Source organism: Homo sapiens, chromosome 12 (assembly GCF_000001405.40).
Source record: "Homo sapiens chromosome 12, GRCh38.p14 Primary Assembly".
NCBI lineage: Eukaryota > Metazoa > Chordata > Mammalia > Primates > Hominidae > Homo > Homo sapiens.
In genome coordinates, this window is record NC_000012.12 from 32,087,077 (window position 1) to 32,112,300 (window position 25,224).

A 25,224-nucleotide genomic window follows, 5' to 3' on the forward strand; every position below is an offset into this window, starting at 1 on the left:
ATGATGCTAACTTTATTTTATTTTATTTTATTGAGACAGGGCCTTTCTCTGTCGCCCCGGCTGGAGTGCAGTGGCATGATCACAGCTCATGCAGCCTCAACGCTCTAGGCTTAAGCAATCTTCCCATCTCAGCTTCCTGAGTAGCTGGGACTACAGGCATGCACCACCATTTCTGGCTAATTTTTTAATTTTTTGTAGAGACAGGGTCTCCCTGTGTTGCCCAGGCTAGTCATGAACACCTGGGCTCAGTGATCCCTCTTCTCAGCCTCCAAAAGTGCTGGGATTACAGGTGTGAGCCACTGCTGCGGGCCCATGCTAACTTTAAAAGTCTCAGGTGCTCATTAAAGAGAAAGCACTTGTAGCAGCTGCCCCAAGACTGGGCTTTCTGATTAGCATGCTGGGTGGCTTCCTGACGGTAGAGGGGAATCCCTAAGAAGGACATTTGACCCACCCACACCCGCATATTGCAAAACACACAGCTTCTGAAATGGTAAATGGCTGGCTCAATATCTTTGCAGTCCCAGTTATAAAGGCTCATCACCTTTTCCATGCCAGTATATAGAGGAGAAACACAATAACAAGTTTCTTATTTCCGTACGTATTTGAACTCCAATGTGAAGAAGGTGTAACATTTATAAAACAACTACATATTTTCTATTCATGATTTGATCATCTATTTTGTTACTCTTTTTGCCTTCCCTTTCAATGTTTGAACATATTCCTTATTATAAGTTCAGTTGAATGATTCGGGATTGACCTATTTCCCCTCTCCTGCTCCCATCTTTTGTAATTTTTCCTAAGGCCAACTGGTGGCCATAGTTCAATTTCCCACTGTAGGCTAGGTTGACTCTTATCATTACTATAAGATGATCCACCTTATTACTATAAGGTGATCTGCCTGCTTTGGCCTCCCAAAGTGTTGGGATTATAGGCGTGAGCCACTGAGCCCAGTCAGGTTATTTTTTTGATCGATAATGCATATTGCCTTTAGTTAGAAGTAGGTCACAGTTGGCTACAGTTAGTTACTATAACTGTCATTCCACAGGATCCTCCTAACTCAACTTATTCTGTGTCCTGTTTTTTCAAAAAAATCACAGAATTTTGCACAGGCTTTGAACATGTTAACCCATGTCTTCAAAAATGAATGAATCTACAAGAACCCAAGCCATGCACTGGCGAGCTCAATGAAGACATACGAAAATCATTCCCTTTGGTCTCAAACATGTTCCATTAGAGATTGTTTGCACCTGGCCGGGCGCTGTGGCTCACACCTGTAATCCCAGCACTTTGGGAGGCCAAGGTGGGCGGATCATCTGAGGTCAGGAGTTCGAGATCAGCCTGACGAACATGGTGAAACCCCATCTCTACTAAAGATACAAAATTAGCCAGGTGTGGTGGTGCATACCTGTAATCCCAGCTACTTGGGAAGCTGAGGAAGGAGAAATGCTTGAATCCAGGAGGTGGAGGTTGTAGTGCGCCGAGACCATGCCATTGCACTCCAGCCTGGGCAAGAAGAGTGAGACTCCCCCTAAAAAAAAAAAAAGAGAGAGAGAGAGATTGTTTGCACCTACAATGTTCATTTTCAGCCTCCATCCAGAAGAGCCAAGTATGGTTTGGACCTAATATTATGAAGTAAATAGCTTTAAACATGGTTTGGTGGATTAATAATGGAGCCATCACTCGGCATCCATTGTCCTAGGCTGTATATATATTTGGAAAGGTTGCTAAGAGAGCATTCTCTTTAGGGCAAAAGGTCAAAGTAAGTGTAGCTTGACACCGACACCTTCCTGGTGACCCGAGTTTCTTCTGCCCACCTCCCTTGTTTTCTGTGAGGAGTCCTTCTGAGCTCATACGCCTGGTCTTATGGAAGGAAGTGGCTTTGAGTGCACCTCTACCTGTCTATACTCAGCCAGAGCTGAAGGGTGGAACAGGTATATCACGGAGAATATTTTCCACGTAACAAGATGGGTAATAAATGCATCAGTCTTGCCTTAGCCACATGCGAGATGGAGCCAGCCTCACTCACTTATCTCATCAGAATTTGGCCCATCACATTCATGTAAACAATTAAGAGGGGCCAGGATTTCTTCAGTTTTGTCTTGGGGGTGAGTAATAGAATCTCTGGTCCTGAGGTGAAAAAGTGATTTTTAAAAATTAGTTGGTTATGTTGTGATATGAGTTATCCCCCAGCCCACCCTGTCCACATTGCTCAACCAGATTTCTTCCCTTGGGGCCCTGCATGTTCAGCTTCACGATATCCTCCCATAGTCTGGAAAGCCCGTCCCTCATGCCCTTGGTATTTCATGTTTTGTGTAGCAATTGCTTCAGTTGTCCATTCCAATTTTTCAGTTGTACTAAATGCTTCAGGAGTGATGTTTAGAAACATGAAAAAAAATCACCAACTCTGTTTTTTTTTTCACGTGGCTCATTTGCATCGCGTATGCCTTAAAATGCATTCATTAGCTTGTTGCTTTATAAGTTGGAGGTCCATTTTGGAGGCAATCCAGGGTTTCTAGTCTTTTTATGCTTTTGTGCTCTTGATGTGACTGAGGGCAGACAAGGCTTAAACCAGAATCATTGTCAAAACCAATTAAGAAAAGCCTCCAAAGTCTCCCAATGCAATGGAAAAAGCCAGATGGAACTGACATGCCAGTTATGCCCCAGGCTATACCCTCACAGGATGTGGCCACTGACCAAAGGGAATTGTTCCTGTTGTGTCTTAATTGAGCTCACAGTGCATGGCTTGGCTCCTGCAGATCTGCTCATTCTGAGGACCTGGGCTGCCACCTTCAAAGTCTGCACAGTTTATTGTTCCAGCCACCAGCACTCTCTCTTTGGGCTGTGACTGGTCGACAGCGACGTGACCAAACCATTCTTGAATCATGCTAGCAGGCCTTTATGTGAGCAGTGTGAGCAGGGCCTACCTGAAAGAGCTGATAGAGCTGTTGATGGCACTAAATGAGACAATGTGTATATAGTTCTTAGCACAGAGCCTGGAACACCAGAGTTGTTCAGTAAGTGATCTGTGATTATCTCAGAACACACATCCCCACTTCACAACTTGGTTCCAATATCACCTGTTCTGTGAAACCTCACTGACAACACTCACTAGCAGAGGTAATGAAAAATCATAGGAGTTGCTTCAACTTTTCACCTTACAAAGATCTTTCACCTCCGTCATCTCACTTGATTTCTGTGACTGCCCTGTGAAGTTAGTATTATTATTATTCTCATGTGACAGATGGTGAAACCGAAGCCCAGTGGGGTTAAGTGACTTTACCATGGCCACATGGGACATGAATCTAAGTCTTGTGACTACTAGTCCACTGTTTTATCCATTATAGCATTTTGGTAGAGAACGTGACTTATAATTTGTAGACACTCAGTGAGGATAGGAGGAAGTAGTAGAAAGTGGAGTGAGAGAGGAATACCTGGCCTAGGAAAGACAGTTCAGAGTTGACAAACATCGTTTATCAGCTGTAAGGCCTCACGTAAGGTGTATAACTTCTCTGTGCCTTCATTTCCTCACCATAAAATGGGAATAATAATAATAATATTTTATTATTACCCTTAGTATCCTGGGGCCTGGGGTGTTGTAAGGGGTAAGTTTATCTATCTATCTATCTATCTATCTATCTATCTATCTATCTATCCAAATCATGTTTGTGTGTGTGTGTGTGTTTTTTTTTGAGACAGGGTCTTGCTCTGTCATCCAGGCTGGAGTGCAGTCACACAATCTCAGCTCACTGCAGTCTCAACCTCCTGGGCTCAAATGATTCTCCCACCTCAGCCTCCCAAATAGCTGGGATTACAGGTGCGTGCCACCATGTCTGGGTAATTTTTAAATTTTTCTACAAATGGAGTTTCTGCTATGTTGCTCAGGCTGGTCTTGAACTTCTGGGCTCAAATGATCCTCCTGCCTCAGCCTCCCAAAGTGCTGAGATTACAGGTGTTAGCCACCATGCCCTGCTGTTATTTTTTTTTTAAGTTAGAGAAAAGCACAATGGAATCAACCTTCAAGTTTGTTTACCAAATTAAAACCAAGAGTTTGTAACTGTGTTCTCCTCAGTCACCCAGAAACTCTAGTAGCACATTAAAGAAGTTGTATATAAGGCTTGTGTCGCTCTGTCCAGCATGTGATCATGGGCTGCCCACAGTATATTTTGGTACTCAGTATCCTCATGAAAATAGGCTGAGATACCCAGGGTCCTTATTAGGAGAAATCAGAATACTATTATGGCATGTGCTTTGTACTTATTAAATTTTTTTTAAAAAGAACAGGCTGGGTGCAGTGGCTCAAGCCTGTAACCCTAGCACTTTGGGAGGCCAAGGCAGGAAGATTGCTTGATCCCAGGAGTTTGAGACCAGCCTGGGCAATATAGTGAGACCTCGTCACTACAAAAAATAAAAAATTAGCTGGGCATGGTGGCTCACACCTGTAGCCCCAGCTACTTGGGAGGCTGAGGTGGGAAAATTGCTTGAGCCTGGGAAGTTGAGGCTGCAATGTGTTGTAATCGCACCACTGCACTCCAGCCTGGGTGACAGAGCAAGACTCTGACTCAAAAACAAACAAATAAATAAAATAAAATAAAATATAAATAAAAAGAACAGAAAAAGCAAAAATGTCAAAAAAGAGAACTAAGAAGTTGAGCTGGGTGTGCAAAACAGTGCCAAACCATCTAACTTCCCTCCACCAGCAATGAGAGAAAGCGTTTTAAACTGAAATGATTTAGTAGCTATACTGATTGGTTTGACTTGGTTTGATAAAAATGATCTGTGCAAGCTGGTTCCATGCCCATAGCATCAGCTGGGGTTCCATGGCAACAAAAATAATTACTCATCTGCAAACAGTCTTTGTAACAGCTAAGGGTTTGATTAGCATCTTAAAATTACTTTGTGATTCAAGGAATTTTATTTCCCACTTAAAGAACAAAACAATGATGATTTTTTTCTGGAATTGGTCATGTTTTAAAAGAACAAGAGGAGACAGATTATGGGTATGTTCTTCTATAAACTGTGTTTAGATTTTAGAACTGTGCATCCATTCTCAGCTAATCAGATGACAGCTCACTCTGCAGGACTCACATGCTGGTCTGATCGTTTACGTGTTCTTGGTCACCCTTTTTCTGTTTCTGCCTGTGAATCTTACCTCTTTCAAGCCCCTGTACTCCGACTCCCTCTCAGCAGATGACTGGAGACAGAAAATAAGAGTCCATCATCTTATTTAAATAGATTAAAGGAAACACAAAGACCGCAATGGAAAAATTGCAAAAGATGGAAAGAAAGAGAAGAAATAGAAATAATAAATAAATAAATGTAGTGGTTTGAGTCAGAAGGTTCGATCTCATTAGTTACCAATAAAATGTACATTGGAAGGACAATAAGATGATACTCCTTTTTTACCTGTCAAATTGGCAAAGAGTCTTTTTTTTTTTCTCCATCTGTCGCCCAGGCTGGAGTGCAGTGGCGCGATCTCGGCTCACTGCAAGCTCCGCCTCCTGGGTTGACGCCATTCTCCCGCCTCAGCCTCCCGAGTAGCTGGGACTACGGGCGCCCGCCACCTCGGCTGGCTAATTTTTTTGTATTTTTAGTAGAGACGGGGTTTCACCGTGTTAGCCAGGATGGTCTCGATCTCCTGACCTCGTGATCTGCCCGCGTCGGCCTTCCAAAATGCTGTTACTACAGACGTGAGCCACCGCACCCGGCCCAAATTGGCAAAGAGTTTTAAAAGTAATAGCATTCAGCATTGATAAAGGCATGGGAAAGCTGGAGCTCTTTTCCACTCCAACTGATACATAAACTAGTTCACAGCCTTCAAAACATTCACACTCTTGGACCTAGTACTAACTCTACTTGGAGTGAGTTAGTTATACAAGGTTAAACTCCAATAATAGGAGAATGATTACAACGACTTCTTTGTAATTATTTTAAAATTTCTTTTAAGCGCTTAACCACAAGCTAGCCACACATCTGAGGTCCTTACATGTATTTTGTCATTTAATCCTCATCAGAACTCTGTGAAGCAAATACTGTATTTCCTTTTTATGGAGGAGGAAACTGAGGTACAGAAAAAATGGAGGGACAGTGGCTCTAATGCCAGAGGCAGGCTCTGAACCAGTATGCTTAACTGCCTAGTTTCAGAAGAGGCTTAAGGCAGCAGGCGGAGCTGTATAAAATACAAGATAATCTCAAGTATTCTGTAGGAGAGAGAAAAACAATGGCAAAGACAGACATAAAACAGAGCCAGGAATGAGGCCAAAAATATATATCATTTGACCTATACACTTGCTAAGAGGACCACAAATTTGGCTAGAAGCTTTCTAGCAGCCTGTGGATAAAAGGAAATCTGATCAGTCATACAATTTACAGTATCCATAAGATAAAAGCAGGCCAATTACTCAGAAGAAGCCAACGATTCTAGGTAGTAAGACCAGACATAGATTTATTCTGCAGAACACAAAATGTTCTTGTAAAAAGAGACACTGTGTGAGCTAATGGATAATGAGCTCAACAGCATCCTTGTTTAGACAAGATGACCACTGATATGGTTTGGCTGTGTCCCCACCCAAATCTCATATTGAATTGTAGTTTCCATAATCCCCACGTGTCATGGGAGGGACCCGGTGGGAGGTAACTGAATCAAGGGGGCAGTTACCTCCATGCTGTTCTCGCGATAGTGAGTTCTCATGAGATTTGATAGTTTTATAAGAGGCTTTCGGCTTTCTCCCTTTTGCTCTGCACTTATCCTTGCTGCCACCATGTGAAGAAGGACATATATTGTAAGTTTCCTGAGGCCTCCCCAGCCATGCTGAACTGTGAGTCAGTTAAACCCCTTTCCTTGATAAATTACCCAATCTCAGGTATGTCTTTATTAGCAGTGTGAGCACAGACGAATACAATCACTTCCACTGGGTTGAGTCTTCTAGCTTTTCTCTTAGGGCTTATGGCCCAACATCAAAACATGGTAACAAGCAACAAGGATGTGGCTCAGGCACCCAGGTCCCTACTGCTTGGGGGATCGTAGGGTACCTGAGAGTGAGTGGACTGATAGCCTTTGATAGATGCTGTGAGAAATGAGAGACTGAGATTGTGCTTTTCAACAAATATGTAGAATTCATCTTTTCTATTTTGTAAGCCCCCCCACCTTTTTTTTTTGAGACAGGATGTTGCTCTCAGGCTGGAGTGTGGTGATGTTATCTTGGCTCACTGTAGCCTCCATCTTGCCAGGCTTAGGTGGTCCTCCTACCTCAGCCTCCTGGATAGCTGAGACTACAGGCATGTTCCATCACACCTGGCTAATTTTGTATTTTTTGTGGAGATGGGGTTTTGCCATGTTGCCTCAGCTGGTCTCGAACTCCTGGGCTCAAGCCATCTGCCTGCCTTGGCCTCCCAAAGTACTGCGTGTGAGCCACTGTGCCCAGCCTATTTTGTCAGTCTTTTATGCATTAAAGACCATTATACTAGAGACAGGAAAGGTGAAAAATATTGTAATATGAAATGATCAATTATATAGGTGTTAAACATGATGTTTAGGATGTCTTTTGGTAATATGAAAATGTTCTCAAACTATAGTATTAAATAAAGCAGGATACAAAACTGTATGTAATATGTAATCTCAACAATGTTTAACATATATATGGAGCTGCAGTGAGCTGAGATCGTGCCACTGCACTCCAGCCTGGGCGACAGCAAGACTGTCTCAAAAAAAATTTATATATATGGAGCAAGGTCTGAATCTTTAGTTTTTCTTGCTATAGAAATTTTTTTTCTTTTATTTACTGAATAGAAAGATGAAAGACAATTTCTGGATGGGTTGGAATATCTTAGAAAGAGGCATCAGTTTTCAGGTACTAATTGCTTGGGTTCTAGGTATGACCGACCATCAAACCAAGGGGAAAGAAGAAGAAAACAGTTTTGATTTGATTTGATTAGGAAGCAGGCATGTATATGATGAGGCATAAAGACCATGTGGGGGAAAAAACTGGGGAGAAACGTAGCAATGTGAAGGATTTCCAGAGGGGCCTTTAGAAACCTAAAAAGCTAATCTCTGAAGTTGTCCATGAGAGAGAGAGCCCAGAGCTAGGAGATTTCTGTCCCCAGGAGAGGTTTGGGAGCTGACTCCTCATTCCCTGTCAGACAGGCCTTCACCTGAATGGCAACCTGCCCATTACCACCACCCCAGGGTCTACCCCAATCTCTTCTCACAGAGATATGGAGAGGGCCTTGCTCCTTCCTGAACTTGCATTAAACTGACAATTGCCTCACCACAAGACTCTGTTGGGTTCATCATTCATTACCCTGTATGAGCATCCTCTGTAACCATGCCCTAGGACATCAGTATGACAAAATAGGGCCGGTAAGGGGAAGCTCTTTATATTTAAGGGGAAGAGGCTAAACTAACAAGCTTGAGATTATTTTAATAGCATGCACACACACACACACACACATATACACAAAATACTGCAAGAACTACACCTTCTTCAAGAATCTCACCTTACCCTTTTCCCTACTGCTCCTTAAATATGGGTATTGCCTCAAATTCCTTCTCAGTCCTTTCTTTTCATTCTAGATTCTCTCCTTGGGCTATTTCAACTTCCATACAAATTCCGATATGCATTAAATCTCAAATCTCCGTTATGAGTCTCCTTAAATTACAGTCTAAGGACATCCAGAACAGAGTTTCCACACCAAAGGCACATCTAGTTTCTCATCCACAAGCTTTTTATCTTTGTCTTTGTGTTTGTTTTTTATTCCGGAACTTCTTGACAAATATTATTCCATCATCAGAAGGAAGGTCCTGGGAAAAAGAAAGACATGAGCACTTGTGCTAGGTATTTTACAGGCATATCTTCATTTAATCCTTATAACCTCTCTATGAAGTAGGCATAATTGTTCCTTATTAGCAAATGAGGAAACCAAGACTTTGAGCAGATAATTTGTATAAGATCAAATAGCTTGGAAGAGTAGGATGACTAAGTTTTAAAGTCAGGTCTGTCTATTCTTCTAAGAAAAGAAGACTGATGCTTTCCTGTTAGGGAACCAACTTCTTATTCCCAGGCTGTGGAATACTGTGCTAACCAGGAAATAGCCAATTCTTCCTTCAGGGCATGTTATGAGATACATGAATTGTTTTCTAAGTCACAATAGCCTTTTTTTTTCTTTTCTTTTTTTTTGCTTGCTTTCTTTTCTTTTTCTTTTTTTCTTTTTCTTTTTTTTTTTTTTGAGATGAAGTCTTGCTCTGTCACCCAGGCTGGAGTGCAGTGGCTCGATCTTGGCTCACTGCAATCTCTACCTCCCAGGTTCAAGCGATTCTCCTGCCTCAGCCTCCCGAGTAGCTGGGACTACAGGCACACACTACCATGCCCAGCTAATTTTTGTATTTTTAGTAGAGATGGGGTTTCACCATGTTGGCCAGGCTGGTCTCAAACTCCTGACCTCAGGTGATCTGCACTCCTCAGCCTCCCAAAGTGCTGGGATTACAGGTGTGAGCCACTGCGCCTGCCCTTTCTTTCTTTCTTTCTTTTTTTTTTTTTTTTTTTTTTTGAGATGGAGTTTCGCTCTGTCACCCAGGCTAGAATCCAAGGTGTGAGCTCAGCTCACTGCAACCTCCACCTCCTGGGTTCAAGCGATTCTCCTGCCTCAGCTCCCGAGTAGCTGGGATTACAGATGTGCACCAGCAGGCCCAGCTAATTTTTGTATTTTTAGTAGAGACGGGGTTTCACCATGTTGGCCAGGCTAGTCTCAAACTGCTGACCTCAAGTGATCTGCCCATTTTGGCCTCCCAAAGTGCTGGGATTACAGGCGTGAGCCACTGTGCCCAGCCACAATAGCCTTTTTACCTAAGTTTTACTTTAGAATCCTGAGTAAAAGCTGTGACCTTCTAGCTTCATCTACTCTCTGACATTCCCTGAAACCTCAGCCTGTGTGGCAAGTTCTATTACAGGATTCACATTTCCTGATTTCAAAATTACTACACAGCAATGGTAAACAAGACATTGTGGTAACACCATAAATAGTGTGATGGTTTGAATGTCTGTGTCCCTTCCAGAATTCATGTTGGAAGTTATTCCCCAATGCAACAGTTTAAGAGGTGAGACCTTTAGGGGGTGATTCAGGCATGCGGGTTCTGCCCTCACGGATGGGATTAGTGCTTTATAAAAGGGACATGGGGAACTAGCCTAGGCCTTTTTTTTTTTTTTTTTTTTTTTTCGCTTCTGCTCTTCCACCATGGAAGACACAGCAGGAAGGTACCACCTTGGAAGCAGAGAGCAGCCCTCGCCAGACACCAACTCTGCTGGCACCTTGATCTTGTACTTCCCAGCCTCTAGAACTGAGCAGAAATACATTTCTGCTCTTTAATTACCCAGTCTCATGCATTTTCTTATAGACGTCTGAATGGACTAAGATCGATGGACATATAGACCAATGGAATAGATTTGAGAGTCTAGAAATAAACCCATATGTCTATGGTCAAGTGACTTTTGACAAGGGTATCAAAACCATTCAGTGGGGAAAGAATAGCCTTTCGACAAATGATGCTGGGACAACAGGATAGCCACCTGCAAAGGATGACATTGAACCCTCACCTCACACAATTTAAAGAAATTAATTCAAAATGAACCAGAAACCTAAATGTAAGAGCTGAAACTAAAAAATTTAAAAAATAAAACAGGTCTAAATCTTCTCAACCTCAGAGTTGGCAATGATACGACACTAAAAGCACAAACAAAAGAAAAAATAAATTGGACTTCATCAAAATTAAAAACTTTCATTTTTTAAAGGACCACTTTATTTATTTACTTATTATTTTGAGACAGAATCTCACCCTGTCACCCAGGCTGGAGTGCAGTGGTGAGACCTCCGCTCCAGGTTCAAGCGATTCTCCTGCCTCAGCCTCCCAAGTAGCTGGGATTACAGGCATGCACCATCACATCCGGCTTATTTTTTTATTTTTGTAGAGACAGGGTTTCATCATGTTGGCCAGGCTCATCTCCAACTCCTGGCCTCAAGTGATCCACCCACCTCAGCCTCCCAAAGTTCTGGGATTACAGGCATGAGCCACTGCGCCCGGCTAAAGGACCATTTAAAAATGTAAAAGGACAATCCCCTGGATGAGAGAAAATCATTCCAAATCAAATATCTGATAAGGGGCTTGTATCTAGAGTATACAAAGAACCCATACATTCAGTAATAAAATGATAACTAACTCAAACAATAGACAAAGGATCTGGACAGGCATTTTGCCAACAAAGATAAACAAATGGCCAAGAAACACATAAAAAAGTGCTCAACATAATTAGCCATCATAGAATTGCAAATCAAAATCGCAACAAAATATGCTACTTTACATCTACTAGGGTGGCTGGACTCAAAAATTCAGATGATACCATGGTTGTCAAGGATACGGAGAAATCAGACCCCTTGTACACTGGTGTTGGGAATGTAAAATGGTTCAGCCACTTTGGAGAACAATCCAGAAGTCCTTCCAAACATGAAACTTTGAGTTAACACATGACTTAGCAATTCCACTTCCAGGTATGCCCAAAAGAAATGAAAACATACGTCCACAAGAAAGTTGTACACGATGTTTATAACATATTATTCATAATAGCCAAAAGGTGGAAATAACCCGAGTGCCCATAAACTGATGATGGATGCAAAGGTGGTATATCTAACAATGCAATATTATTCAGCCATAAAAAGTAAGCAGTGGCCGGGCACGGTGGGTCATGCCTGTAATCCCAGCACTTTGGGAAGCTGAGGTGGGTGGATCACCCTATGTCAGGAGTTCGAGACCATCCTGGCTAACAGGGTGAAACCCCATCTCTACTAAAAATACAAAAAAAACTAGCCAGGCATGGTGGCGGGCGCACACCTGTAGTCCCAGCTACTCGGGAGGCTGAGGCAGGAGAATGGCGTGAACCTGGGAGGCGGAGCTTGCGGTGAGCCGAGATCGCACCACTGCACTCCAGCCTGGGCGACAGAGCGAGACTCCGTCTCAAAAAACAAACAAACAAACAAACAAACAAACAAAAAATTAGTCGGGCGTGGTGGCGCATGCCTGTAATCCCAGCTATTCAGGAGGCTGAGGTAGGAGAATTGCTTGAACCTGGGAGGCGGAGGTTGCGGTGAGCCGAGATCATGCCATTGCACTCCATCCAGCCTGGGCAACAATAGCGAAACTCCGTCTCAAAAAAAAAAAAAAAAAAAAAAGGAAAGTAGTATGATATATGCTACAACATAGATATATTTTGAAAACATTATGTTAAGAAAGAAGCCAGTCACAAAAGACTACATATTATGTGATTTTATTTATATGAAATATCAAGATTAGGGAAAGCTATAGAGACAAAAAATAGTTTAGTAGTTCCTTAGGACTGGGGTAATGGGGTGGAGGATGGGGATGGGATAGGAGGATGACAGCTAAAGGGTACTGTGGGGAAAAGCAAGAGAGATCAGATTGTTACTGTGTCTGTGTAGAAAGAAGTAGACATAGGAGACTCCATTTTGTTATGTACTAAGAAAAATTCTTCTGCCTTGAGATTCTGTTAATCTATGACCTTACCCCCAACCCCGTGCTCTCTGAAACATGTGCTGTGTCAACTCAGAGTTGAATGGATTAAGGGCGGTGCAAGATGTGCTTTGTTAAATAGATGCTTGAGGGCAGCATGCTCCTTAAGAGTCATCACCACTCCCTAATCTCAAGTACCCAGGGACACAAAAACTGCGGAAGGCCGCAGGGACCTCTGTCTAGGAAAGCCAGGTATTGTCCAAGGTTTCTCCCCATGTGATAGTCTGAAATATGGCCTCGTGGGAAGGGAAAGACCTGACCGTCCCCCAGCCCGACACCCGTAAAGGGTCTGTGCTGAGGAGGATTAGTAAAAGAGGAAGGAATGCCTCTTGCAGTTGAGACAAGAGGAAGGCATCTGTCTCCTGCCTGTCCCTGGGCAATGGAATGTCTCGGTATAAAACCCGATTGTATGCTCCATCTACTGAGATAGGGAAAAACCGCCTTAGGGCTGGAGGTGGGACCTGCGGGCAGCAATACTGCTTTGTAAAGCATTGAGATGTTTATGTGTATGCATATCTAAAAGCAGAGCACTTAATCCTTTACATTGTCTATGATGCAAAGACCTTTGTTCACGTGTTTGTCTGCTGACCCTCTCCCCACAATTGTCTTGTGACCCTGACACATCCCCCTCTTTGAGAAACACCCACAGATGATCAATAAATACTAAGGGAACTCAGAGGCTGGCGGGATCCTCCAAATGCTGAACGCTGGTTCCCCGGGTCCCCTTATTTCTTTCTCTGTACTTTGTCTCTGTGTCTTTTTCTTTTCCAAATCTCTCGTCCCACCTTACGAGAAACACCCACAGGTGTGTAGGGGCAACCCACCCCTACAGGGTACAGGTGATTAAAGTGGACAAGGGCAGCCACTGAGAGAGCTGGTATCCAAGCAGCTTGGAGATGAAGTCCTGGCCCCAGAAGGCACTGGTGTGGAAGCCACACATCTCCCTTGAAAGTGCATCTGGAGGTCTCACTATGTGAAGTGCTCTTGAAGGGAAGATTTCCCACCGGCCATTCACAGCAGAGCACCCCAGTGCCCCACAGATACACCCTCTCATTGTGTGTTATCCCTGCCATCATTTCTGGGGACATGGAGTTGTCTGATTAGGCTGTCTCCACATCTTAAATTTTTTGAGATGGAGTCTCGCTCTGTTGCCCAGGCTGGAGTGCAGTGCCACGATCTTGGCTCACTGCAACCACCACCTCCCAGGTTCAAGCAATTCTCCTGCCTCAGCCTCCCGAGTAGCTGGGACTACAGGTGTGCGTCATCACACCTGGCTAATTTTTGTATTTTTAGTAGAGACAGGGTTTCGCCGTGTTGGCCAAGCTCATCTCAAACTCTTGACCTCAGATGATCTGCCTGCCTTGGCCTCCCAAAGTTCTGGAATTGCAGGCATGAGCCACTGCGCCCAGCACACATCTTAAATTTCTATTCATGCTGTAATCCACTACAACCTGGTATCTGCCTTCTCTGTTCCACACAAATGAATCTTATCAAGAGCACCCACCTCCATGTTGCCAAATCCAGTGACATTTTGTGTCCTTATAGTACTTGGCTGTGACCTCTTGTTGGCACTGACTTGGTCCTTATTCCCTCGCTCCTCATACACACTTCTCTTTTGTTACCTTTCAAATGTTTCTCTCCTGATTTTCCCCCCACCCAGTCCCTCTCAACTCTCTTTGCTGGCTTTTCCTTTCCAACTCAACCTTTAATAGGGATACTTCAGGGCTAGATCCTAGACCCCTTTCTCTTCTTTATTTACATCTTTCCCTAGATAATCCCATCTGTTTTCCATGGGTTTCAATGCCCTCTAACGCTAGTGATTTTCAAAGCAAAGTCATCATACCTCCTAAGAAGTCTCTTCTTAATTTTTGTCTTACATCAAATTATTGACTTAATATTTCTATTCAAATATCTCAAAAGTGGCTGGGCACGGTGGCTCATGCTTGTAATCCCAGCACTTTGGGAGGCCAAGGCAGGCGGATCACCTGAGGTCAGGAGTTCAAGACCAGCCTGGCCAACATGGCAAAACCACGTCTCTATTAAGAATACAAAAATTAGCTGGGTGTGGTGGCACATGCCTGTAGTCCCAGCTACTTGGGAGGCTGAGGCAGGAGAATCGCTTGAACCCGGGAGGCAAAGGCTGTAGTGAGCCGAGATCACGCCACTGCACTCCAGCCTGGGCAACAGAGGGAGACTCCATCTCAAAAAAACAAAACAAAAACCCCACAAATGTTTCAAAAGTGTCTTAAGCCTAATATGTTCAAAATAGAACTCTTGATTTCTTAAAACTGTTCCATCTAACTAAATGGCGGCCCGTCTTCCCAAGTCAGAAAATTAGAATTTATTTATGATTCCTTTTTTCTCCCTATCCCACATTCAGTCTTCAAAAAGGTCTTAAGAATTCTACTCTCCCATTCCACTCCTTCCTCAATATAAATCCATGTACTTCTTTTCCCAGCTGCTATCATCTCAGTCTAGGCCATGATTTTCTTTTTCCTGGACAACTGCAACAACTTCCTAACTAGGGACCCTACTTCTATCTTTTGATATCTTCCAACTTTTTTGTGTGTGCAGTAGAAAAATTTTAATTAAAAAAATTTTTTTTGTAGGGACGGGGTTTCACCATGTTGTCCAGGTTGGTCTTGAACTCCTGGAATCAAGCAATCAGCCTGCCTCAGCCTCCCACAGTGCTCTGGGATTACAGGCGTGAGCCACTGCATCCAGCTGACATTCTTAAAATACAAATAGAACTATTTCATTTCCTGACTAAAGAATCATCAAAGGCCTCCCCTGAGAATAAAACCCAAATTCTTCATTCTGACTTGCAAGGCAAGTATAATTCCCGCCTATCTCTCTGATGTTGCCTGACTTCTTGATATAGTCTTAGGCCATTTCCCTTGAGCTTCTTAATCCTCAGCCTCTTTCATTTTTTTTTTTTTTTATTTGTTTTTGAGACAGGGTCTTGCTCTGTCACCCAGGCTGGAGTGCAGTGGCACGATCATGGCTCACTGTAGCCTTCACTGCCAGGCTCATGGGATCGTCCCACCTCAGCCTCCCAAGTAGCTGGGACTACAGGTATGCACCACCATGCTCGTTCGATTAAAATTTTTTTTTTTTTTAGTAGAAATGGGGTCTTGGTATGTTGCCCAGGCTGGTCTCGAACTCCTGAGCTCACATAATCCTCCTACCTTGGCCTCCCAGAGTGCTGAGATTACAGGCATGAGCCACTGCACCCAGCAGCCTCTCAGATTTTTATTCTTTGCACTCAACAAGCTCTTTTCTGCCTTTGGCTTTTACACATTATTTCCTTTCCCTGAAAAGCTTCTCCCCCACATTTTGTATATCCGACTCCTTTTTGTTCCTCATAGATAATAAAATGAATATCACTTCTTCAGAGAGATCTCTACTGATTATCTTTTTTTCTTCTTTCTACCTAAATTTTATCCTTGTTTTTCTTTTAAAACTTTTAAAAAGCACATATAAAATGCTTATGTGTGTGATACTATTCTATTCACAACAATCTCATAATTAGATTATATTATTATCTCCTTTTTAGATATGACACAACTGAGAAACACACAGCTAGTAAGTGGCAAAGTTGGATATGACCCAAGTAGACTAGCTTGTGCTTTTTTTTTTTGCTTTTTTTCTTTTCTTTTTTTTGAGACGGAGTCTCACTCTGTCACTTGGGCTAGAGTGCAGTGGCGGATCTCTGCTCACTCCAACCTCCAACTCCCGAATTCAAGTGATTCTCCTGCCTCAGCCTCCCGAGTAGCTGGGATTACAGGCGCCCACCACCACACCCAGCTAATTTTTGTATTTTTAGTAGAGATGGGGTTTCACCATGTTGGTCGGGCTGGTCTCGAACTCCTGACCTCAGATGATCCGCCCACCTCGGCCTCCCAAAGTACTGGGACTACAGGTGTAAGCCACCGAGCCTGGCCTTTTTTTCTTTTCTTTTGGTGAGTCTTGCTTTGTCACCAGGCTAGAGCACAGTGGCACAATCAGTACATTGCAGCCTTAATCTCTTGGGTTCAAGCCATCATACTGCCTCAGCCTCCTAAGTATTGGGGACCACAGGCATGTATTACCATGCCCAGCTAGTATTTTTTAATTTTTTGTAGCCATGAGGTCTCGCTATGTTGCCCAGGCTGGTCTTGAACTGCTGGCCTCAAGTGACCCTTCTGCCTCAGCCTCCCAAAGTGCTAGGATTACCAGTATGAGCCACCACACCCAGCCTAGGAATGCTTTAAGAAATTATTTTCTATATACCTGTCATTGATATATATGCAATACATATGGCATATACGAAAAAAGAGGGAACTGTAACTATGCAGTACTGGAACAGCATGGTGTATAGGAAAATAAATTTGGCTGGGCATGGTGGCTCACATCTGTAATCCCAGAACTTTGGGAGGCCAGGGTGGGAGGATCACTTGATCCCAGGAGTTTGAGACCAGCCTGGGCAACATAGACAGACCCTGTCTCTACAAAAATTTAAAAAATTAGCTGAGTGTGGTGGTATTCATCTGTAGTTCCAGCTACTCAGGAGGCTGAGGTGGGAGGATCGCTTGAGTCCAGGAGGTTGAGGCTGCAGGGAGTCATGATCATGCCACTCCACTCCAGCCTAAGTGATGGAGACCCTGTCTCAGAAAAAAAGAGAAAAAAAACAAGAAAATAAGTTTATCTTCTTTACGTTAAATACCAACATTTAAGGATCAAAGTTCAACTAAGCAACATCTTAAAGTGTCAGAGTGTGCAAGACATGCCTGAAATCAGACAAAAGTGACAAGTGACAAAAGTGTATCAATCAGAAAAACGGGGCAGGATAGAGCATAGGGGCTGGACCACAATGGAAATTTAGCAAAAAGGAAAGTCACAGAGGCAAACTCTGTTCTTAGTTTGATCCAAAGGAGAGGGAGGCACAGGCAATCTAGTGCGAGTCTTATGATCCCTTTGGAAGGCCTATGCTTACAGTTTGTAGAGTGAGGAACAGCCAGAGGCTTCCTGGGAAGGCAGGTTAGCTACCTGCAATTGCAGGTTCCATCTCTTTTCAGCAGTTCATCATCATTCATCAACGTGTCAGAGGTCAGATGCCACGGGAGCACACAGGAGGGGCTTCCCACCTGGAGTGCGAGATAAGGAAAGATGGGTCGGATGTTGTAGTCATTATCATCCGCTTCTCTACAAGGCTGGAATTTATGGTGGCTGCACATTTGGAATGTTTTCTCCTTTTATTTATTTATTTTTAGATCAGACAATCACAAGAGAATATTCTTTTGTTTTATTTTTAGATCAGACAATCACATGAGAATATTCTGTTGTGATCGCTGGCGTTTAGAAGGAAACTTGTCTGGTTTGTGAAGCAATGGAAAACACATCCAGACAGCCTGCTAGTGGAAACTTTGGAAGGGCACTGTCATATGCTTTTTCTCCCACGCCATCAACAAGTGTCCTTTTTTTTTTTTTTTTTTGAGATGGAGTCTCTGTTGCCTAGGCTGGAGTATAGTGGTGCCATCTGTACCCTCCACCTCCTGGATTCAAGCAATTCTCCTGCCTCAGCCTCCCAAGTAGCTGGGATCACAGGCGTGCACCACCATACCTGGCTAATTTTTGTATTTTTAGTAGAGATGGGATTTCACCATGTGGGCCAGGCTAGTCTTGAACTCCGGACCTCAAATGATCCATCCACTTCTGCCTCCCAAAGTGCTGGGATTATAGGCGTGAGCCACTGTGCCCGGTCAACAATCATCTTTTTTTTTTTTTTTTTTTTTTTTACCAGGTACACAATGATGGGAGAGTTGAGTCCTGCTTTCTAACTTAGAAAACGCATGTGTGTTCATCACCTGGTCACTGAGAAACAGCTCTGGAATAGGTGCCATGCAGAAGAAGAGAGGGAACTGGAAAGACCCACTGATCTGTGGGTCTCACAGCCTCCCGTTACACAGAAATTGCTTCTTTTCTCTCATGTTGCGTTCTTCCTCTTGATTCTCGACCCTTCTCCACTCTTTCATTTACTCCACTCTTACTTTGCTTTCACCTCCTTTTGTAACCGTTCATCATCACTCTTCATATGGATTAATGTGATTATCTTAAAAGCATGTAATATGTAGTTGCTGGGTTTGTATGAGTAATGAGTGAACCTGAAGCCAACATAATGATCCCGTTTAGTGCTCCCGAGTTAAGATTCCAGAGTTGCCTGACTTTGGACAAATCACATCTCCCTTTGCCTTTCACCCCCTGTAAACTGAGGATAATGGCTCTTACCTCAAAGCATTGTTAGGATTGGAGAGAACGCATGTTACATACTTAGAAGAATGCTTGGTATGGGTCTCAAGAACTCTTAGCTCTTATTGTTTAAAAAATGCTTATTACAGGGCATCGTTGGTATCTTATATAGGGAATTTCAAGCAGTTTTCCTTTATTGAAGACACAGAGTAAGGTGCTTTGATGGAAACTATTGGGGCAAGATATACAGTACCTAGCTAGAGGTTTCCTGGGTGCATGTATTGTGGAGATATTTTTTTTCTGAGTGGATAGCGCTCTTGTGATACGCTGGGTGAGGGCGAGCAATATTTAGCGGACTGTCCTGTGAGGATAGTAAGGTTATCTGGTGAGAGTGTTAGGTGGCCCAGGCCAGACTTGGGAGAGGCAGGGAGAGAGGGGGACGACGGAGGAGGGCGCCTTGGGGTGCGTCTTGAAAGCTTTGGGAAACCCAGCGGTCTTTTGGGGGCAGGTGGCCCAAAAAGCCTTCTGCGCGCCCAGGGGACGAGGAGGATGCGCGGACCGCGACCGCGATAGTTTTGTTTGCTTTTCTCGGGAGAAAGCGTTCCAGGCAGTTTCCTGAGCTTCGGCCCTCGACGTAGCAAAAGAGCCCGGGCGCCCACGCCGCTCTCGGGGTCTTCTACTGCCACCGGGACAAAGCCCTGGGAGGAGCTCCCGCCCCCGCGAGCCGGACAGGGCGGAGGCTCCCCCGCCGCGCGCGCCCCACCGCTTCCCAGTCCCAGACCCGTCGCCTGCGCCTCCTCCTGGCGCGCCTCACGGTGCAGCGGGCGGCGGCCCGCGCGCCCGGCGGGAGGCGCCTCGGGATGTTTCCGTCTGGTCCTTCCCTCCGCCCCCCGCGCTGACTCCATCCGCTCCCCGCCCCCTGCTCGGAGCCGCCGCCACGCGGGAAGGGAGGGAGCCGGCCCCGAGACTGCATCATTCCGCACCGGCTGCTGCAGGGCCAGAGGGAGCAGGTGGAGCGAGAGAGCGAGCCGCGAGCCGGAGCGCGCCAGACCCAGGGCGAGACTGCAGTGACGCGGCCCGGGAGACATGGCGGACGGGCGTCTCTGAATAAGCAGAATCCGGAGCCCCTCGCTACCCGCGGCCGCCGCAGCCCGGGCCATGCCGCACGGCTGCTGACCGCACGCAGGGGCCGGCCCCGAGGACACATGCGGCGGCCTTTGCCGCCTCGCCCCTGACCCTCTGCCCTGTTCTCCATGTTGCATTTCTCGTCAGTTTCTCGGGCGGTGTAGCTGCCGCTGCCACCAGAGCCGGCGGGGCATCGCGCTGCTCATTCATCCGGCCGCACTTTCTTTTCCGTTTCCACCCATCCCTTCCCATTTCCTTCTCCCTTTCCCCGCCAGCTTCGCATCCATCTCCCCCACCCCGTAACCCCCTCCTGCCTCCATCCACCGGGGCTATGGCCGCAGAAGAGGTATTGCAGACGGTGGACCATTATAAGACTGAGATAGAGAGGCTAACCAAGGAGCTCACGGAGACCACCCACGAGAAGATCCAGGCTGCCGAGTACGGGCTGGTGGTGCTGGAGGAGAAGCTGACCCTCAAACAGCAGTATGATGAACTGGAGGCTGAGTACGACAGCCTCAAACAGGAGCTGGAGCAGCTCAAAGAGGTGAGTTGCCTGTCACCTCTCCCTTTCCTGGCCCTCACTCCCCCCACCCGCAAGGCCCACTCATCATGATCAAGAAGTCATAAAGGAGGTGATTGAAAGGACTGTTTTTTCTTCTAGGGCCCTTTGTTGGTAAGAGAAGATTGAAAGAGTCCATTGTTTCCTCCCCCAAGAGAAAAATTGCCTAAGAAATGAATATATAAGCTGGAATTTGGGAGGCAATGGCTGTTTGGCCTGCGGGGGAGGGAGATTAGTAAGAGTCATCAAGTCTCAGCACTCTAAGACGACATTCAAGTGGGTTGGAATGTATAAATCAAACTTCTCAAAACCGCTGTTATCTCAAACCCAGGTTTCAGCGACAATTTCGTAGTCCACAAAAGTGATGAGGTTTGTGCCTGAGGACCCACAATTTCAGGATTTAGACTGTGTGGCACCTCAGCTTTCCTCTGGATGTAACCACTCCTTGGTGAGAGAGGGAACTCCTCACCAATCCCATTTGACAAAGGCTAGGCAATCTTCATTCTGCTTGGCTTTAGTCATTCTTGTCATTGGGCTGCAGAAGAAAAACAACTTTGCTGGGTGATCCCACTGCCTTGATTTCACCTCGGAGCGAGGCTGGGCCATGTCCAAGTCTTATGAGGTCACCCTGACTAGAAAAAATTGAACTCACCTACAAATAGTCTGAAAGAGTGGTGTATATCAAATACGTGGGTAGTGTTGCATTTCAAATGAGGCTCTTCTGGTTGAAATGATATATTTATAAAACCAGAATATCAAAAATGGGTGATGTATAATGTCTCTTTAGTTTTTTGGTATTTGGCCTCTTTTAAAGCCTGTCGGATGTATGGGAGAAAACAATGAACGTGCTTTGATTTCCTATCAGTCACTCTTAAGAACATACATATTGTTTAAGTAACTCGGTCTTTTTTATCTGATTCTTGAGGCACTATGGGTAGCAAATAACCACTTACAAATTTAAATGTAATATACACTCCTTTTCTGTGTGTCAAGTCCTTATTTTTAGGTGCATATTGACATTTAAATGTTAATTATTGTTTGGCATATAATATCAAAAATCTATTATTTATTTTATGCTGTTACAGTTAAAAGATGTGATTTATGACATACTGAATCAACTTGCCTTCCAATTTAGTGTGTAATATGGTAAGCATTTATACTTTTAGATATGTCTTATTTTTATTTGGATGCCTGTCTACCAAAAAATAAATGTACTACCTATGATTAAAAATCCCAACTAGGAATCTAATTTTTGTGTGTCAGGCTGTAAATTTCTGGTTCCTATTTTACTTACCATGTACCTGTCTGGTCTTAACAACAGCTGGACTTGTTTATATTTTCCAACTTAGATTAGGCTGACATGTTTAAATGCAGTGATGCTAAACCTTGTGAAGTGAGGAAGCAGGATGATGACTGTCATTCTCAGAGATGTTTTGATATTGTCTATACCTATCAACACTGCTTTGCCAAGATAGGGAAGTGCAAACCAGAAAGTGGTAAGCCATCACCTTCTTGATAAAGGAGATGGACTTAATTTAATGAAATGTACCTCTTACTGACTTTGCTGCTTGATTTAAACAATCCTTCTAGGGATATTTCTGTCATTGCACTTACCTTGCATAGCAAACCTTAATGCAATTGTGTTTTGCCTTTGCTACACCATGAGCTTTGCATCCCAAGTCTTTAACACAAAAGCTAGCACACAGTGGGCATGAAATATTTTATGAAAGAATCAGTTTGTACTAGAAGAAGGCACACTTTTATCAAGGGTTCACTAGTCAATATTGATTAGTGTTAGATAAATACTAAGAAAATTAGGATGTATAGGAAGTGACAGATGTTAATAAAACTACCTGTATTAGTTTCACCAGCAGTAATGAGAAAAATGTGAAAAAAACGTTTTGTAGGAATAATGTAACTGTGGTTTCTTAATACAGAATAATGCAAATACCAACTAAAATTTTTTCTATAAATATTTTAATATATATTTTGTTCTATATAGCAGGAGGTTAATAAAAATTTACCAGCATTATTTTTACTAAACGATTCTTGTTCATATATTTATTTTCAGTTGCATTTAGCATAAGTGAAATTCGAGATTCCTAAAAAACTGGTTTATACAGTTATATAAAAATGTATTTTAGGTAATAAAATTATTATAGTTGATTATTTGATAGTGAGGCCTATTATTTTTATTCTTTAAACATAGAATATACTTTAGTTGGAAATATAACTTAAATGAGTTAAATTGATTTCAAGTAACATTTCTTGTATGAAAAGTAAATCCAAAATAATTGTGCAAACTGAGGTGTTCCAACACCTCAGTTTTGAAAAATATTTTGTGAGTGTTTTGATTTTTCAAAAGAAAGTTTTGCTCATCAGGTATGTATAGTAAATGATGTTGCATTATATCTATAAAGCCAAGCATAAAATAAATCTTTGCTTATTTCTAGGATTTTTGAACAAATATGATTTATTTAAAAATAATTGAACCAGTTTATGGGAATGTCAACAGAAAACTACTGTATTAAGTCCAAATTGGACATTAGTAATTTGCAGTATAGCAACATGGCTCAGTCTTTGCAGATCATTTTGTTTTCCAGAGTCAGTACCCACCAATGTTGCTACCTTCCTTCCCAGGCTAGGTACTGCTGTGACAATAATGCAAGTCGGCAGTGTTGCCTAAAGATGTGCAAAATCAAGAAGATGAAATTCATTAAATTTTTTTCCTAGTTATTTCTTCCCTCAACTCAATTGTTTTTTGACCTGGCCTGATGTTGTTTAGTGCTCTGCATGGACTACTGTAATTCAGCTCACAGAAGAACACACTTGAAAGAATAGTACTAAGGATTTGAAAAAAGGATGACTTCTGACATCATCAAAGTGTTCTCCTTTTCATGATTCTTTGGGCAGCTGGACAGAGCAGTATGTCCACTAGAATACTTGAGTCTGGTTTTGTGATTTCACAAGTAACACTTGCTCTTCAGTGACCTGAGTGAGGGTCACCCATGCCCAGTTATGTTCAGGGCCTGGCTGATTATATGTTTGGGATGTACGTAAATCAGCACTGTGCGCCTGTCACCCAGGCCAGAATAGTGTTTGAAGAAGAGTCATAGCTCCAAAATAACCTGAAAACTAAAAATATACATATATAAAAATACCTTGGATCTAAACTTAAGAGTTTTTTTTACACCGCATGTTCTCACTCATAGATGGGAATTGAACAATGAGAACACATGGACACAGGAAGGGGAACATCACACTCTGGGGACTGTTGTGGGGTGGGGGGAGGGGGGATGGATAGCATTAGGAGATATACCTAATGCTAAATGACGAGTTAATGGGTGCAGCACACCAGCATGGCACATGTATACATATGTAACTAATCTGCACGTTGTGCACATGTACCCTAAAACTTAAAGTATAATAATAAAAAAAAAGAGTTTTTTTTTAACTTAAAAATGGTTGAAATTTAAAATGTTGTAAAGTTGAAAAAGAGCCCCTTAGAAAGGAATGATTCAGCATTACTGATGGCATTTTAAAAAGGAAATGTATCTGTGAGACAGCTTTAGAAAAGTTTTGCAGCTTGGATACCGTAAACTATGCACTAATGAGCTTCAACCCATTTTCTTGCTTATTTTGTCAACCCTGACACCAAGGATAGTTACCAGCTGCTGAAGAAGCACTTTCTGGACATTGGGCAGCTTTTTCTTTTGGAGCCAACTCTATTCTTTTTCAGGGTTATAGTTAAATCATTCAACACAAAAATATGTACTTACACAGTTTTAGAGCTTGTCACATTGGTGACCTGATGAATGCCACTTAAATTACCTAGATTCATCTTTAAGCAGAATTGTTTTCCCTTCAGATGCTTAGAAAGATTGTTAGTTTCTTTTATATCTTTAAGTTCTAAATCACAAAATCATATGGCAAGAAAAACCCCAGATTTCTTTTCCAATCTATGAATAAACATAAAGAGACAGTTAATACTTAATTGATCTATCTGAACTATGATTTTTAACTTCTCTCATTGTTTTTATTTTTTTATTTTATTTTATTTTATTTTGAGATGGAGTCTCGCACTTTCACCCAGCCTGGAGTGCGGTGGTGTGATCTCGGCTCACTGCAAGCTCCACCTCCCGGGTTCACGCCATTCTCCTGCCTCAGCCTCCGGAGTAGCTGAGACTACACGCATTCACCACCACACCTGGCTAATTTTTCGTATTTTTAGTAGAGATGGGCTTTCACCTTGTTAGCCAGGATGGTCTCGATGTTTTTAAAGAAAAAATATTTACATTTATTATCAAATTAATCTTAAAATCTAAAATACATTAAGATATGCTTTTGGAAACTGTTTACAAACAACCTCAACAAATAAACATCATCGCTTTCAATCACATTTCTTTTTTTCTGGACCCAGTTGCTCTAACTTGCACTATCCCTTTTTTTTTTTTTTTTTTTTTTGAGATGGAGTTTCACTCTTGTTGCCCAGGCTGGAGTGCAATGGTGTGATCTCGGCTCACCGCAAATTCTGCCTCTTGGGTTCAAGTGATTCTTCTGCTTCAGCCTCCCGAGTAGCTAGGATTACAGGCATGCGCCACCACACCTGGCCAGTTTTGTATTTTTAGTAGAGATAGCGTTTCTTCATGTTGGTGAGGTTGGTCTTGAACTCCCGACCTCAGGTGATCCGCCTGCCTCAGCCTCCCAAAGTGCTGGGATTACAGGCGTGAGCCCCCACGCC

The 25,224-nt window shown here is 43.2% G+C and overlaps 1 protein-coding gene and 1 long non-coding RNA gene across 39 annotated transcripts in view, besides 5 other annotated features; one reads left to right on the top strand and one right to left on the bottom strand.

Moving 5' to 3' along the window:
* Window positions 313-432: a silencer, noted in NCBI's record as "silent region_4334". NCBI's record gives its function as "represses an Ori minimal core promoter by ATAC-STARR-seq in GM12878 lymphoblastoid cells {active_cell/tissue: GM12878}" and the evidence as "EXISTENCE:reporter gene assay evidence [ECO:0000049][PMID:35858748]".
* Window positions 2,356-2,856: an enhancer, noted in NCBI's record as "NANOG-H3K27ac hESC enhancer chr12:32242366-32242866 (GRCh37/hg19 assembly coordinates)". NCBI's record gives its function as "activates a minimal SCP1, AML or CMV promoter by ChIP-STARR-seq in primed H9 embryonic stem cells {active_cell/tissue: H9 hESC(primed)}" and the evidence as "EXISTENCE:reporter gene assay evidence [ECO:0000049][PMID:30033119]".
* Window positions 17,041-20,386, bottom strand: BICD1-AS1 (BICD1 antisense RNA 1). The gene is made up of 3 exons (NR_185992.1): window positions 20,318-20,386; window positions 17,600-17,697; window positions 17,041-17,214 (listed from the first exon to the last, which is right to left on the bottom strand). It is a non-coding gene; the product is annotated as a BICD1 antisense RNA 1 (long non-coding RNA).
* Window positions 19,294-19,773: a silencer, noted in NCBI's record as "silent region_4335". NCBI's record gives its function as "represses an Ori minimal core promoter by ATAC-STARR-seq in GM12878 lymphoblastoid cells {active_cell/tissue: GM12878}" and the evidence as "EXISTENCE:reporter gene assay evidence [ECO:0000049][PMID:35858748]".
* The window catches only part of BICD1 (BICD cargo adaptor 1), a 276,787-nt gene continuing 271,333 nt past the window's right edge, over window positions 19,771-25,224 (top strand). For 35 of the 38 annotated variants that reach the window (NR_148725.2, NM_001413168.1, NM_001354186.2 and 32 more), the window contains exon 1: window positions 19,771-20,468. Coding sequence is in view for 37 of the 38 variants with exons in the window: in NM_001413168.1 (NP_001400097.1) it covers window positions 20,256-20,468 (213 nt within the window). In the remaining variant the exon portion in view is untranslated. Of the gene's footprint in view, window positions 20,469-20,585; window positions 21,733-25,224 lie in introns of those variants that run through there. The other 3 variants (NM_001413182.1, NM_001413183.1, NM_001413180.1) reach the window with 3 other exon arrangements.
* Window positions 20,134-20,213: an enhancer, noted in NCBI's record as "active region_6181". NCBI's record gives its function as "activates an Ori minimal core promoter by ATAC-STARR-seq in GM12878 lymphoblastoid cells {active_cell/tissue: GM12878}" and the evidence as "EXISTENCE:reporter gene assay evidence [ECO:0000049][PMID:35858748]".
* Window positions 20,741-21,378: an enhancer, noted in NCBI's record as "H3K27ac hESC enhancer chr12:32260751-32261388 (GRCh37/hg19 assembly coordinates)". NCBI's record gives its function as "activates a minimal SCP1, AML or CMV promoter by ChIP-STARR-seq in primed H9 embryonic stem cells {active_cell/tissue: H9 hESC(primed)}" and the evidence as "EXISTENCE:reporter gene assay evidence [ECO:0000049][PMID:30033119]".